Source organism: Homo sapiens, chromosome 2 (genome assembly GCF_000001405.40).
Source record: "Homo sapiens chromosome 2, GRCh38.p14 Primary Assembly".
Lineage (NCBI taxonomy): Eukaryota > Metazoa > Chordata > Mammalia > Primates > Hominidae > Homo > Homo sapiens.
This window is the reverse complement of record NC_000002.12, coordinates 115,055,317-115,070,129: the sequence shown is the minus strand read 5'-3', so window position 1 is coordinate 115,070,129 and position 14,813 is coordinate 115,055,317. Positions and strand designations below refer to the sequence as shown.

The 14,813-nt window shown below is 36.1% G+C and overlaps 1 protein-coding gene across 11 annotated transcripts in view; it reads right to left on the bottom strand.

The window, feature by feature from the left end:
* DPP10 (dipeptidyl peptidase like 10) overlaps positions 1-14,813 on the bottom strand; it is a 1,403,140-nt gene that overhangs the window by 775,651 nt on the left and 612,676 nt on the right. The window contains exon 1 of one of the 11 annotated variants that reach the window (NM_001178037.3): positions 5,325-5,557. The exons of the other annotated variants lie outside the window; for them this stretch is intronic. Within the exon in view, the coding sequence (NP_001171508.2) occupies positions 5,325-5,372 (48 nt within the window). The 5' untranslated portion in view covers positions 5,373-5,557. Of the gene's footprint in view, positions 1-5,324; positions 5,558-14,813 lie in introns of those variants that run through there. 11 annotated transcript variants of the gene reach the window in all.

Genomic DNA, 14,813 nt, shown 5'->3' with positions numbered 1-14,813 from the left:
TTTCATGAGCCTGAGGGGTTGCATTGTGTTTGTTTGTTTTAGAGCACCCACATTTTAACCTAATAAATTGTGATGATATAAATCTAGCATTCCAGGTTATTAAGTTTAAATCTATTTTATTTAAATGCAGACACTATATAAACATACACACAATGTGTTAATACACACCAAAATAAACACTTACAGGTAAGGAGATTAAAATCAATTGAATGCTTTTACGCTAAATGTTTTATACATACATATAAATATTATATACGTATACATATATATATAGATAGACCTGAAAAATAGCCTATTCGATTATTGTGATTATTATGCTCACTCACCAAATTAAAAAAAAAAAGAAAGGAAAGATTCTCAGAGAGGTTAAGTAACATGCCTAAATTCATCAGCACGCGATTCGAGGAAGCAGAATTGGAATTTGGATCTGTCTAATGTCAAAACCTGTACATCTTACCACTATGCTAAACTGAGTAAAAGCTGAGTTAATGTATTTCCAACAAAATCAAAGACATACTGATCCTTTTATTTGTCTTTGTAATTGTATTGAGATTACTGAGGGTAAAACTGTGATTTCTGTAAGGAAACAACTGAACAGTCTGGAGGATATCCATTACAATCTTGACTGAAAAAGTTAAATTGTCTCTTTGCAGATGGCATGACTGTATATATGGAAAAACTTTAAAGGCTCTATTGAAAAAGTGTTAGAACTAATAAGCAACTTCAGTGTATAACTGCAGGATACAAAACAAACATATAAAAATCTGTGGCATTTCTATACACTAACAATGAAACACCCAAAAAAGAAAATAGGGAAGCAATCCCATTCACAGTATCATTTAAAACAGATTTAGGAATAGATTGAGCAAAGGAGATAAAAGATCTGTACAGTTAAACTTTAAAATATTGATGAAAGAAATTGAAGAAGACACAAATAAACAAAAAAATCTATGTTTATATATTGGAAGAATCTATATTGTTAAAAATTCAAAACAAATACAGAATCAATGCAAGCCCCATAAAAATCCAATGGTATTATTTACAGAAATACAAAAGAAATCCTAAAGCATATGAAACCACAAAAGTTCCAAACAGTCAAAAGTAATCCTGACAAGAACAATGATGAAGGCATCATACTACCAGATGTTGAAATATACTACAAAGCTATAGTAATAAAAACAACATGATACTGGCATAAAAATAGACATACAGCCCAATGGAATTGTATAGAGAGCCCAGAAATAAATCCACACATTTATTGTCAACAGATCTTCGACAAAGATGACAAGAACATGCAATGGGGAAAGTCTTTTCAATAAAGATGTTGGGAAAACTGCTTATCTAAATGCAGAAGAATGAAATTGTACCCTTATCTCACACTGTCTACATAAATCAACCCAAAATAGATTAAAGACTTCAATGTAACATCTGAAACTATAAAATTATTGAAAGACAACATAGGAAAAAACCCCTTTTGACATTGGTCTGGGCAAATAATTTTTGGATATGATCCCCAAAGCAAAGGCAACAAAATCAAAAATAGACAAATGGGATTGCATCAACTAAAAAGCTTCTGTATAACAAAGGAAATAATTAGCATAATGAAGAGGCAACCTACATGGGAGAAATTGTTTGCAAGCCATATATACAATGAGAGATTAATATCCAAAACATATAAGGAATTCAAAGATCTCAACAGCAAAAACAAATAACCTAATTAAAAAATGGGCAAAGGATCGGAAGAGACAGTTCTCAAAAGAAGACATATAAGTGGCCAATAGGTACATGAAAAAAAAAAAGCTGAACATTACTAATCATCAGGGAAATGCAAATTAAAACCACAATAACCTCACACCTGTTAGAATGGCTAGAATGGCTATTATCAAAAAGACAAAAGATAATCAGTGTTGGTGAGGGTGTGAAAAAATGGAAACCCGTGTACATTCTTGGTGGGATTGTAAATTGTTACAGCTATTATAAAAACAGTATGGAGGTTCTTAAAAAATTAAAAATAATTATCATATAATCCAGCAATCCCAATATTGTGTATACATTCAAAGGAAATAAAATCAGTATGTTGAAGAGATATCTGCATTCCTGTGTTCACTGCAGCATTATTCACAATGGCCAAGATACGGAATCAACTGTTTTCATAGACAGATGAATAGACAAAGAAAATACACAGACACAAAAACACACACCCCCACACACCCCCACACACCCACACAGGAATATTTTTCTTTTTTTTCTTTTTTTTTTTTTTTTTTTGAGACAGAGTCTTGCTGTGTCGCCCAGGCTGGAGTGCAGTTGCAGGATCTCAGCTCACTGCAAGCTCCGCCTCCCGGGATCAGCCATTCTCCTGCCTCAGCCTCCCGAGTAGCTGGGACTACAGGCGCCCGCCACCACGCCCGGCTAATTTTTTGTATTTTTAGTAGAGACGGGGTTTCACCGTGTTAGCCAGGATGGTCTCCATCTCCTGACCTCGTGATCCCCCTGCCTCGACTTCCCAAAGTGTTGGGATCAAAGGCGTGAGCCACCGCGCCCGGCCATTTTTCTTTTTTTAAAAAGAGGAAATTCTGGCTGGGCGCGGTGGCTCACGCCTGTGATCCCAGCACTTTGGGAGGCCGAGGCGGGGGGATCACGAGGTCAGGAGATCGAAACCATCCTGGCTAACACGGTGAAACCCCGTCTCTATCAAAAAATACAAAAAATTAGCCGGGCGTGGTGGCGGGCGCCTGTAGTCCCAGCTACTCGGGAGGCTGAGGCAGGAGAATGGCGGGAACCCGGGAGGCGGAGCTTGCAGTGAGCAGAGATGGCGCCACCGCACTCCAGCCTGGGCGACAGAGCCAGACTCCGTCTCAAAACAAAAACAAAAACAAACAAACAAAAAAAAGGACATTCTGTCATTTGCAACAACATGGATGACCATAGAAAACATTATGTTAAAGGAAATAAGCTAGGGACAGAAAGACAAATACAGCATACTCTCACATATACAATCTTAAAAACTTAAACTCATAGAAACAGAGAGAAAAATGATGATTGCCAGTGTCTTGAGAGTGAGGGAAAAGAGGAGACATTGGTAAAATGACATAAAGTTGCAGTTATGCAGAATGAATTAGTTTTGGAAATCCAATAGACCATACCTATCATTAATTATACTGTACCGTATACTTAACATTTACTCAGAGAGTATTCTTAAATGTTCTCACCACAAAAAAAATATGTAAACCTGTGAGGTGATGGATATGTTAATAAGCACAACTGTGGTAATCAATGAAGATGTATATTAAAACATCACATTGTATGCTGAAAATATAGACATTTTTATTTTTTAATTATACTTTGACAAAGTTAGGGAAAAACTCTAAAAAGGAGAGAATTATTCTAAGCTGTTATTTTGTTCCCTTAGTCATCTTCATCCTTTTAATGCCTAATACAGTACTGAGCATCAGGTTCCCAGTAATTATCTGTGGAGGAAATCATAGATATTAGGGACAGGTGGCCATTTAGAATCAATTTGGTTAGTGCCATATGTTATTCTAACAGTTTGTTGTTACCATTGCTTTACATTGAAGGCAAATTTTAATTTTAAAAATTTGAGAGATATTATAATTTTAAACCAATTGTGCCATCTAATGGACCCTTAAGACTCCCATTAGATCCTGGAGGCATGCTCTAATTTTATATTTAGGTTGCACAAATAACTGAATTAAGCATTTTCATATTTTTATTTTTTCTCATTTTTTTGCATAATCTTGATGTATAAATAAGAAATATAAATGTGTTCATATGCATAAAGTGCCTACACATGCAGGCATGTGTGTGACAAAAAATTACAACTGTTATTTAATCCTAAAGCATATAATTACAATATAATTGGCAAAGAATAATATACGTATCTATAACGTGAAAAACATACATATATATAAAATGAATAAGTTAATGAATCCTTATTTGTAATGTCTTTTCTAGATAAGACTAAGATAAACAGCTTCTGCCTTATGAAGTTTATATATTTAATGTTTATCTTAGGCAATAACGTGGATCTTGTCAAGTCACACAATTTAGAATAATGGTAGATGCAAATAGTTTGCTGTTGATTAATGTCCCATTTTAATTAAGGATTGCTCTGATTTAGAAACTGGGTTCACTACAGGATAGCAGGCAATAGCTCTGCAAATGCTGAGATTAACACAATTTAAGATTTAAAGGATTATCTACCAAACTCAGATACACCAATTCAATTATTCTTGGGTGGATTTTTTTTCTTTTGGCATGCGTGTTTCAATAAAAACTAACAATGATAAAAATGTAAAATTAATTAGTGCACTGGAGATTGTATCAAAGGGTGTAGATTGACTATACAATTTTACTCTTCTACTTTCCAAAATCCCTTGAAATGAAAAAAATCAAAAGAACAAAGTAGGATAGAGGAGAGAATTGGGGGGGGAGGTGTGCACTACTGGTAAGAATGACTACATACACACTACACACACATACACACGCACACATACCACTTCTAAATGAACATCAGAAAGATGAAGAGTGCCATCAACCAATTGCAAATTTTGAGGAATCCCTGAAACATAAAGAGAAGATTAAAAGAATTATAAAGAAAAAAAAGAACATAAGAAACTGGTGCCCTAAACTTTTGTATCCTCAGATCTTCTGCTAAGGTTGGTTGTAGCAGTCCTCCAGGTTCACAGTTAATGATTGTAAGCAAGGCAGAGGCCACCTGGTTGTCCATCTGGATGATTACTGGAACAGATGGGCCATGACTCCCTTATCTCTTCCCAGTTTATGTTAAGCAGTGGTCATTTTAAAAGAGTTAGATTTAAACATTCAATTTTTAGTTGAAAAAAGTAATTAAAAAACTCTATGAGTGGGTTGAATTGAGAAATGGATAGACTTATAAAGGAAACTAGTGAGCTCAAAAATAGATTTCTCCAGAATTTAAAAAATAAATATGTTACAGAGTTATGTGTAATGATCCAGGAATATTTCAAATATATTTTCAATATGAAACCCAGAGCATATAAAGGGTGACTAGTTGAGGTGAAGAAGGTAGAGCACAAGAAATGTGAAAGTATGTTATGGTCATTTTCTAAATGGATAATAATTCAAATTATCCTTCAAAAATTATAATATAAACATACACATTAAATATATGTGGGCAACTATTAGGCCTATGATGAATAATGCTTAAAACAAAAAAGAAAAATAGGAAAAGACAATTCAGTACAAGAGAATAAAATAAATGAAACCCAATCAGAAACCCTGCTAGAAAGAAGACTAAACAAACCTAGGTAGCATCCACTTACCTTTTCAGAACCATCTACTGGTCCCTCAGCCACCTCTGTGATGACCATTGCTAAGTGGACTATAACCACTTTCTACAAATGCAACCTCACCCTCACAGAATCTTACTTCAATGTCAGTTCCTTGCATGTCACTCACTCATGCTTCCAGTTCTCAACACTTTGCTATTCACATATAAGTACAGGAAGCAAAGAATCTACGTCAGTGCCCACCTATGTCCAACCGAAATATGTGTGTGTAGGGGTGGGTGGTGGGGCAGAATTAACCCCCTATCAGCCAGACTTTTGAGTGATGGGCAACAGATGTGTGTAGATAAATTATCCTCTCTGTCTCCTTTGGGCACACGGTTCTGAGCCACAGTCATATAGCTTCTGGGGGAAGAGATCCTGAAGGTCAAACATCTGCTTTACCTTGTAATGCTCAGCCCCATGGCACATTTTCTATTGGCTCTCCCTTCTTCCCTGCTTTGCTGTACTTGATCTCACTACTTCTCCCTGGGATCACACTCTAATGGAGCAGAAGCACACCAGCCTTTGCCACAGGCTCCACTTGCTGGGAATCTCAACCTAAGAAATACTAAGTATGTTTGTAGGCATAATAAACATGAGTTATATTTCCTTATAAATCAGAGGCTTTAACATTAGGGAGAGAAAAGAAGAAAAAAAAAGAAAGAAGAGAAAACAAATGAACAACAATCCCATATCTAGCTATATGTTGTGTGAAAGTGAGAAAGTTAAAAATTCGACAATATAAAGTATAATAATAAAATGATGGTAAAAGTAAATTGGGCAAATTTTAACAAAAGGCAGGCATTGAACCAACACTGTGAAACCCATTGTAATACCAGAAAAAAAAGATGAATGAGACAAGCTAATCATATTTTACAATGGTAAAAGTAAAATCATAAAACCTTATATACATAAAAAAACACAGCATCAACATGAAATTTTTGCCCTTGTCTATGTCCTGAATGGTATTGCCTAGGTTTTCCTCTAGGTTTTTATAGTTTGGGATTTTACATTAAGTCTTTAATCCATCTTGAGTTAATTTTTGTATAAGGTGTAAGGAAGAGGTCCAGATTCAATTTTCTGCATATGGCTAGCCAGTTCTCCCAGCACCATTTATTAAACAGGGAATCCTTTCCCCATTGCTTGTTTTTGTCAGATTTGTGGAAGATCAGATGGTTATAGACATGCAATCTTATTTCTGAGTCCTCTATTCTGTTTCATTGGTCTGTGTGTCTGTTTTTGTACCAGTACTAAGCTGTTTTGGTTACTGTAGCCTTGTAGTATAGTTTGAAGTCAGGTAGCATGATGCCCCCAGCTTTGTTCTTTTTGCTTAGGGTTATGTTGGCTATATGGGCTCTTTTTTGGTAACAATTGAAACAAAAGCAAAAAATTGACAAAAGGGATCTAATTAAACTAAAGAGCTTCTGCACAGCAAAAGAAACTATCATCAGTCTGAACAGACAACCTACAGAATGGGAGAAAATTTTTGCAATCTCTCCATCTGACAAAGGCCTAATATCCAGAATCTATGAGAAACTTAAACAAATTTACGAGGAAAAAACAACCCCATTAAAAAGTGGACGAAGGACATGAACAGACACTTCTCAAAAGAAGACATTTACACAGCCAACAAACATATGAAGAAAAGCTCAACATCATTGATCATTAGAGAAATGCAAATAAAAACCACAGTGAGATACCATCTCACAACAGTCAAAATAGTGATTATTAAAAAGTCAAGAAACAACAGATGCTGGGGAGGTTGTGGACCAATAGGAACGCTTTTACAGTGTTGGTGGGAATGTAAATTAGTTTAACCATTGTGGAAGACAGTGTGGTGTTTCCTCAAAGACCTAGAACCAGAAATACCATTTGACCCAGCAATCCCATTACTGGGTATATACCCAATGAAATATAAATTGTTCTATTATAAAGATACATGCATGCATATATTCATTGCAGCACTATTCACAGTAGCAAAGACATGGAGTCAACCCAAATGCCCATCAATAATAGACTGGATAAAGAAAATGTGGTACATATACACCATGGAATACTATGCAGCCATAAAAAGGAATGAGATCATGTCCTTTGCAGGGACATGGATGGAGCTGGAAGCCATTATCCTCAGCAAACTAGCACAGGAACAGAAAATCAAACACTGCGTGTTCTCACTTATAAGTGAGAGCTGAACAATGTGAACACGTAGACACAGGGAGAAGAACAACACACACTGGGGCCAGTTGAGGGGTGGGAGCAGTGTGCAGGGGGAAGGAAAGCATCAGGAAAAATAGTTAATGCATGCTGGGCTTAATACCTAGGTGATGGGTTGATAGGTACAGCAAATCACCATGGAACATGTTTACCTATGTAACAAACCTGCACATTCTACACATGTATCCTGGAACTTAAAATACAATAAAAAACAAAACTTGAGTGTAACTTATTTTTAAAATGCAGCATCAAAATATACAAAATTAAGCTCATGGAAATACAAAGACAAATTTACTGATCCTTAAATGTTAGAGCCTTAAAGATACTTCATACAAAATTTATTTGACATTAGACTCAAAGAGGAATAGCAAAATTCAAACTACTAAAAATTTGATTTGGTAGCCATGCACACACATACACACACACACACACACACACACACACACACACACACACAGAACTGTAATCTTAAAACAACAATACAGTTTTTCCAACACTCATGAAATAATATTTTAAATTTTAATATATTATTTCAAAATTAAAATAAAAACAAATTATATGAAACTGAAAATTGAGTCCACATTATGGAAACAAAATATTTAAAAAAAACAACAGAAAAGAATAGCCAAGGGAAAAAAAACAATTTTAACTGAAAATTTTAATATTCTAAATAATCTTGTACTAGAAAGGAAATGAAAATTGATATAAAATATTGTTATGTAAAAGACATATTATCTACTCTGTCTTTTAGCTTCTTCAACATGCTGTGCTCATTCTCACCTCAGACCCTTGGCACTTGCTGTGCCTACTGCATACTCTGTAGAATATTTTTCCTAGCTGATTACCTGCCTCAAATGATCTTTGGAAGGAGTAAATGAATCAATTTACATAAAGCACTTATTAGAGGGCCTGGCATACTTTTAAACCTATATAATTTCTCTCTATAATCATCACCATCATCATTATTGATATTATGTTTCCCAATTATAAACACTGTGCATTTTATTTAACTAGCATGCATTTTTAAAATTTCTTTATTTTGAACTTAATGTAAGTTTACAAATTGCAAATGGCTTAGCTTTTGCATGAGGGATGATAAATATGTTATTTGTGTACAGATTATTGCTTAAATTTTATTATGGATGTCACTATCATGCCTCCTCCTTCATAAATTGATAGCCCTTTTCCATCACAAAGAATAACTGGAAACTGTCAGCTGCAAAAGCCATTTGGCCAATTTTGGTATGATTGAAAAAAAGTAAATGATTCATTTTCATCTCTATCTATGAATTTTTAATAACGAATAGTCAAAATATCAAAGTTTTCCCAGAAGATCCCACAGAGGTCAGACACTTCTTAAACAAGTGCATAAATAGGAAGGGAATCTCTATCTTTGCTCTTTGATTATTTTCCATGGGATGAAATGATGATTTTTGACATTTCTCAATATTGTTTATTGTGGTAATTCATAGCTTTTAGCTGCAGTGTGGGCAGGGGAGAAGAAAAACAATTTTAAGTCTTAGAATAGTCTCCAAGGGAACCAAGAGACTCTGGTTAATTGTTTAAAGGGGAGTTAGGCATTACAAGGATTTTCAAATCCATTATGAGCTTCAGCAAGAAACATTGACCCTCAGAGAGACAATGAAATGTATGATTGTGAATATACTAAGCTTGTTCTTGCAAGCGAGGTGAGCACCTTGTCCATAGGTTTCCCAGAAAATTTTCTAAGATTAAAAATTTGAGGAGCATCTCTCTGAGCTCAGCTTCCTAGCATAAAATGAACATTCTTTAGTTAGAAAAACTGATAACCCAGGATAAAGGGAGAAGGGGAAAATCATTCAGGAGAACGTGATCCAATGAAACCTGTCAGAATAATAAAAGATGTTGTGAATGAGCTCCCAAAGCAAACGCTATTAAAGGCTGAAGATGTATAGACCATAGGGAAGTTGACATAACGTTCATTTAATTATTTCTATTATTCTATCTATCAATTTGAGACAGGATTTCACTGTGTTGCCCAGGTTGGAATGCAGTGGCACAGTCTCCGCTCACTGCAGTCTCGAAGTTCCAGGCTCAAGGGATCCTTCCGTCTCATCCTCCCGAGTGCTGGGACTACAGGCATATGCCACCACACCCAGCTAATTTTCGTATATTTTATAGAAACAGGGTTTTGTCACGTTGTCCATGGTGGTCTCAAACTCCTGGGCTAAAGTGATCCACCTGCCTCGGCCGCCCAAATTGCTAGAATTACAGGCATAAGTCACAGCCCACGGGCTTTATACCTATCGATAAATCTACCTATCCTTTCTTTCGTTCTATCACATGCATATATTATATATGTATTTCTTTATATATACTATATATATAGTGTATATATATATATAAATTTCTTTATCACCTACCTCTATATATCTATCTATCTAGACATTTATATGGTGTGTTAACTAAGTGCCTGGCACTGCACTAAACTATAAGGGTCATTAAAATAAGTGATGCTTTCTGCCTTCGTGTAGCTTACAATAGTGAGAGAGGGAGCTTTAAATAATTGTTAGTAAATTACATTGAAGATAAGGGTTGGAAACATTGAGAGTACTAAAGATGTGCACGCATCATCCTCATGTTTTAAACTGGAAATAATCAATTTGGAAAGAAGTGAAATTTGATGCATATTTTGGGAAAATAAATATTAGACATGTCTCTTTCTGTTGCAAATAAAAGAAACTCAGCTACAAGAGGCTTAAACAAAAAAGATCAGTAAGGGAAAACGTCTCCAGTAGAACTAACCGCAGCTTGCTTTGTCTATTTCCAGCTATCAGGAAGCTGTTTTTATCTCCTGGCTCCTTCCCGTCCCCGCCATCAGCTTATTTTTCTTCCACGTTTGCTTTTTTTTTTTTTTTTTTCCTGTTGAGGTCACTAATGTTCCCAAGATTTCTTCCAAATCGTGTTGAAATAGAATCTATTCTGGTTTTCTCAATAAAAACTGAGGTTAATTCTGAATGGCTCTGAATAGGTCAGATGTCCATCTCTGAACCAGTTGTCATGGTTGGAGAAATAAAGTGATCTGATTGTTCAGAACAGCATACCATGTGTCTACAAAGCTAGCATTGGACACAGCTCTGCCACACAAAGCACTTGTCCTAGGAGTGACGGAGCCTGGATTCATTAGGAAATTAGGATATTGGTATTAGAGAAAAAAGAGAGTGCATATTATATAGGCAAAAAAAAAAAAAAAAGAAATACCTACTGTAATGTTTATCAAATAGTTTGTGAGACCTTAGAAGATAAAAGAGGGGGACTCTTTAAAACTTGCGTGATTTATTAAGAAAATATGCTAAAGTAGATGCATTCTTCTTCTTCTTCTTTTTAAATCTTTCCTTCTGTTCCTCCCTCTTCTTTCTTTTTATCTTTTTCTTTCTTCCTTATATTTCTGTATTTGTTCTTTCTTTCACCTTTGTTTTCTTTCTCCTTCCTCCCTCCCTTCGTTTGGGGTCACCCTTAGGTGGAACCCTCAGCGGAATGACTGACTGTATAGGATTACCAAGATAGACACGAATGGATTCCTAGTTGAAACGTGCTATTCAGGGGGAAGGATTGAGATTCACCTGGGGTCACTAAGAGATCTGCGTTTTATAATGGCAGTGACACACTGGAGAGTGTTCCGCTGAAGGCACTCAACAGAATAGGGAGTTGTATCATGGGAGAAGATGTGTCGGGATTTGGGGACAAGAAAAACAAAAAACAAAGATGAAGACCAAGGCTGTGAATGGTTGTGAAATAGAGATAATTCATTTAAGTATTTGAAGGGCTGGCTTGCAAAAAATAAAAAAATAAAAAAAAAGATTGTTGACTTTTTCTTTGTTTCAGGCTGCAAAAATAAGACAAAGAGGCCGGGCACGGTAGCTCACGTCTGTAATCCCTGCACTTTGGGAGGTTGAGGTGGGAGGATCACTTTGAGGTCAGGAGTTCAAGACCAGCCTTGCCAACATGGCGAAACCCCGTCTGTACTCAAAATACAAAAATTAGCCGGGCGTGGTGGCAGGTGCCTGTAATCCCAGCGACTCAGGAGGCTGAGGCATGAGAAGCGCTTGAATCCAGGAGGCGGAGGTTGCAGTGAACCGAGATCGCGCCACTGCAGTCTAGTTTGGGAGACCGAGTGAAAAATAAAATAAAATAAAATAAAAAAGACAAAGAGTTGGAAATGTAAATGGTTTTTTCTGGTCTCCATGAAACAAAGGGACTTCTAAAAGAGCAGTAGAAGCTGGGTGTTAACTAGGAGTGTGCCTTTTTTTTTTTTTTTTTTTTTTTTTTTGTCCCTTTATGATTAAAAGCTAGCCTTGCTTTCAATATAAAGCAGTAGAAGAAAGGCTGACAAATTAGGGTTTCCTACAGTGAGAAAGAAAGTTCTATGATATCAACTACCCATTGTGGGGGAATGTTCTCGCAGAGTCTGGGTTAGTTCTTGTGGCAGGTTGTGGACAATTCTGCCCATACTGGGCAATATGGGAAATCTCCTAAGCCCCGCAGAGCAATCGCAGGTACAAGAGTGCCCCAGTGCGAACGCAGCAGAAATTTTAACCCTCAAAGCATTCTTAGTTCTTTGGCAATCTTTGCCCTTCTTATTTCCTACTCTGTAAGTAAATCAAAGAAAAAGTAGGCTTGTACCTAGTTCCAGTCAAACTTCTCACACAAACTCAAACTCAGACTAGACTGGAAGGTCTGGCCTAGCCCATCTTTTCCAAGCAATATTGGACCAACATAACTCCTTATGAGGGGTTGTCCTGAATAACCTTCAAAGCCTTGTCCAACTCCTAAATTCTATGATTCTTATTTACACCCGTTATCTATTGATCTGTGAGGCTGCTAGTCATAAAAGAGAAGCTCTTTGAAGTCATAAAGTGAATAATTTACCACATCCTTGGTTTCTTGCTGCTTTGTGTTTTTGCTAACACATGCACATTTACAAAAAACGAAGCAAAAGACCAAAACAAACTCTGCTCCTTCTGTCCTTTCCATAAAAATATAATTTCACCTAGTAAAAAAGCAATTCACCATCTTAGCAATCCACTGAGCCTCTGGTTGCCTTATCATGTTAATGGGTTTAGTACATCTACCTTACCTACTTTCATAGGGCTGCTGGAATACAGTTAAAATATTAAATTTTCACAAAGCAAGAAACACAAATCTTTAGTCAAATATAAGACCTAAAAAAAAATCCCTCCATCTCACCATTTAACTCCAAAATATTTTTGTCATCTATAATAAATGCAAGAAGAAAGCATTTTGCAGCCAAAACTCTACTATTTCTACCTCAGGCATCAGAACAAGTGGGTTGGCACACAGAGTGGGTAAGGCAGGTAGAGAATATGCTGCTAGGGTAAGGTGGTATCTGGGCATATTTTCTTTTAGCTCATATCTAAGAGAGTTAAGAAAGGGCTGAGCAGGAAATAGCAGATGCAGCTGTAAAAGATTTTCAGGTATCAGCTTTGGTAGAAAAAAATTAAAGATACAGAATTTTTTCTTTTCTTTTGTTTTTCATGGGGATGAGGGAGTGGGGAAATAGTTCTCCTCTTTTAGACTTAATTGAGGAAAGGAACCTTGAAAGTGAAGCGAAGTCTATTCCCAATCTGCCTTCATTTGTGAACACATACTGGTTAATGCCATAGTAATAAAACAAAACTAATCTATTTTTAATAAGCTGTTTTAGATTATTTTGTTGCAGGTAAAAGAGCAGGGTTGTTGTAAATGTAGACATGGCTATAAGCCGATATCCCCATATTTGTTTCTTTTGTTTCTCCTCCTCCTCTAATTCACTCACATCTTCTGTCTTGGAGTCCCACTCCTTTGCCTCCATTTTGAGCCATTTGGAGAGAGAGGATGTGTAGCATTGGACTTACGTTGGCATTGCTCTTAGATATTTAGGACCTGTAAACCAGGTCCAGTGGCTTATGCCTCTGATCCCAGCACTTTTGGGGGTTTAAATTAGAGGATCACTTGAGGCCAGGAGTTCAAGACAGACCTGGACAACACAGAAGACCCAATCTCTAGAAAAAAACAAAAAAATAGCAAGATGTGGGGGTATGCACCTGTAGTCCTAGCTACTGAGGGAGCTGAGGTAGGAGCATCACTTGAACCCAGGCTATGATGGTGCCATTGCACTCCAGCCTGAGTGACAGAGCAAGACCTTGTCTCTTGAAAGAAGAAGAAGAAGAAAAAAAAGCTATTCAGAACCTATAATCATGGTGTGCCTTCAGTGACCCATGTTTACCAGACCCTACACATAATAGTACCTCAATGACTCTGGGTCTATTCTTTTGCTCATGCTGGTCTCCACACAATAGTATCCTTGACTCATATATATTTTCTGCAAATTATAGACTATATGCCCTGCCTCACCCTCCAACCCCCGGATGTTGTTTAAGGATCCGTATGTATGCAATAAACATGCAGGGAAATTTAAGACAGTCATATACAGAAACAAGTTTACTGCAGAGGCTGATGTTCAGGAAGAAAGAAACAACAAATATTTTGACCTTTGGCAATATATTATTTATTAAGCTAGGTAGTAGATATGACTATTGCATTCTTTATAATTTCCATTTTTTGTTTTCATTTTTACATCCTTTATAATTTCTATATGTTTTACATGCTGCATGATTAATTAATTTTTAAGAGTGAGTCCAATATGACACATTTTTGGTGTATCTTCAAAACTCTACATTTTTTATATGACAGGAAACTCTAAATGATAGCAAATATTTATGAGAGTAAAAATTTTAATGAATTCAATTACAAAATTGTGAGCAAATCCTTCCTCATAGTGTCTTGGGTGCAACAAAATGCAGTCGGCTCTTCATTCTAGAACTGGGTGGCAGACAAATGATGCCCGTTCTACCAGTGTTGCAATGAGTCATCTTCAAACTACTCTTGGACAACTAGCAATACATGAACATTTTCAGATAGTTTGCTCATGAGATATTAATTTTATTTTTGAGGTTTACTATGAAAATAAAATATTTTATATTTCAATTATAAAAATTATGAACTTGAGAGAATAGAATTTCAAGTATAAAGAACTCCTTCAAAGTGACCTGTTTAAGTGGTTCTTCGCCTGTCGTTTTCTTCTACCACTTTTTCAAACAAAGTGAAATCTACCCTCATTGGAAATGAAAGCCACTTTTTCCAAGAATGACATAGTAAGATTCAAAACAACAAAACATTTCCAGTGGTAGTCTTTGGAGTAAGTTTTATTAGTATTGCTTCTTGTGTTGA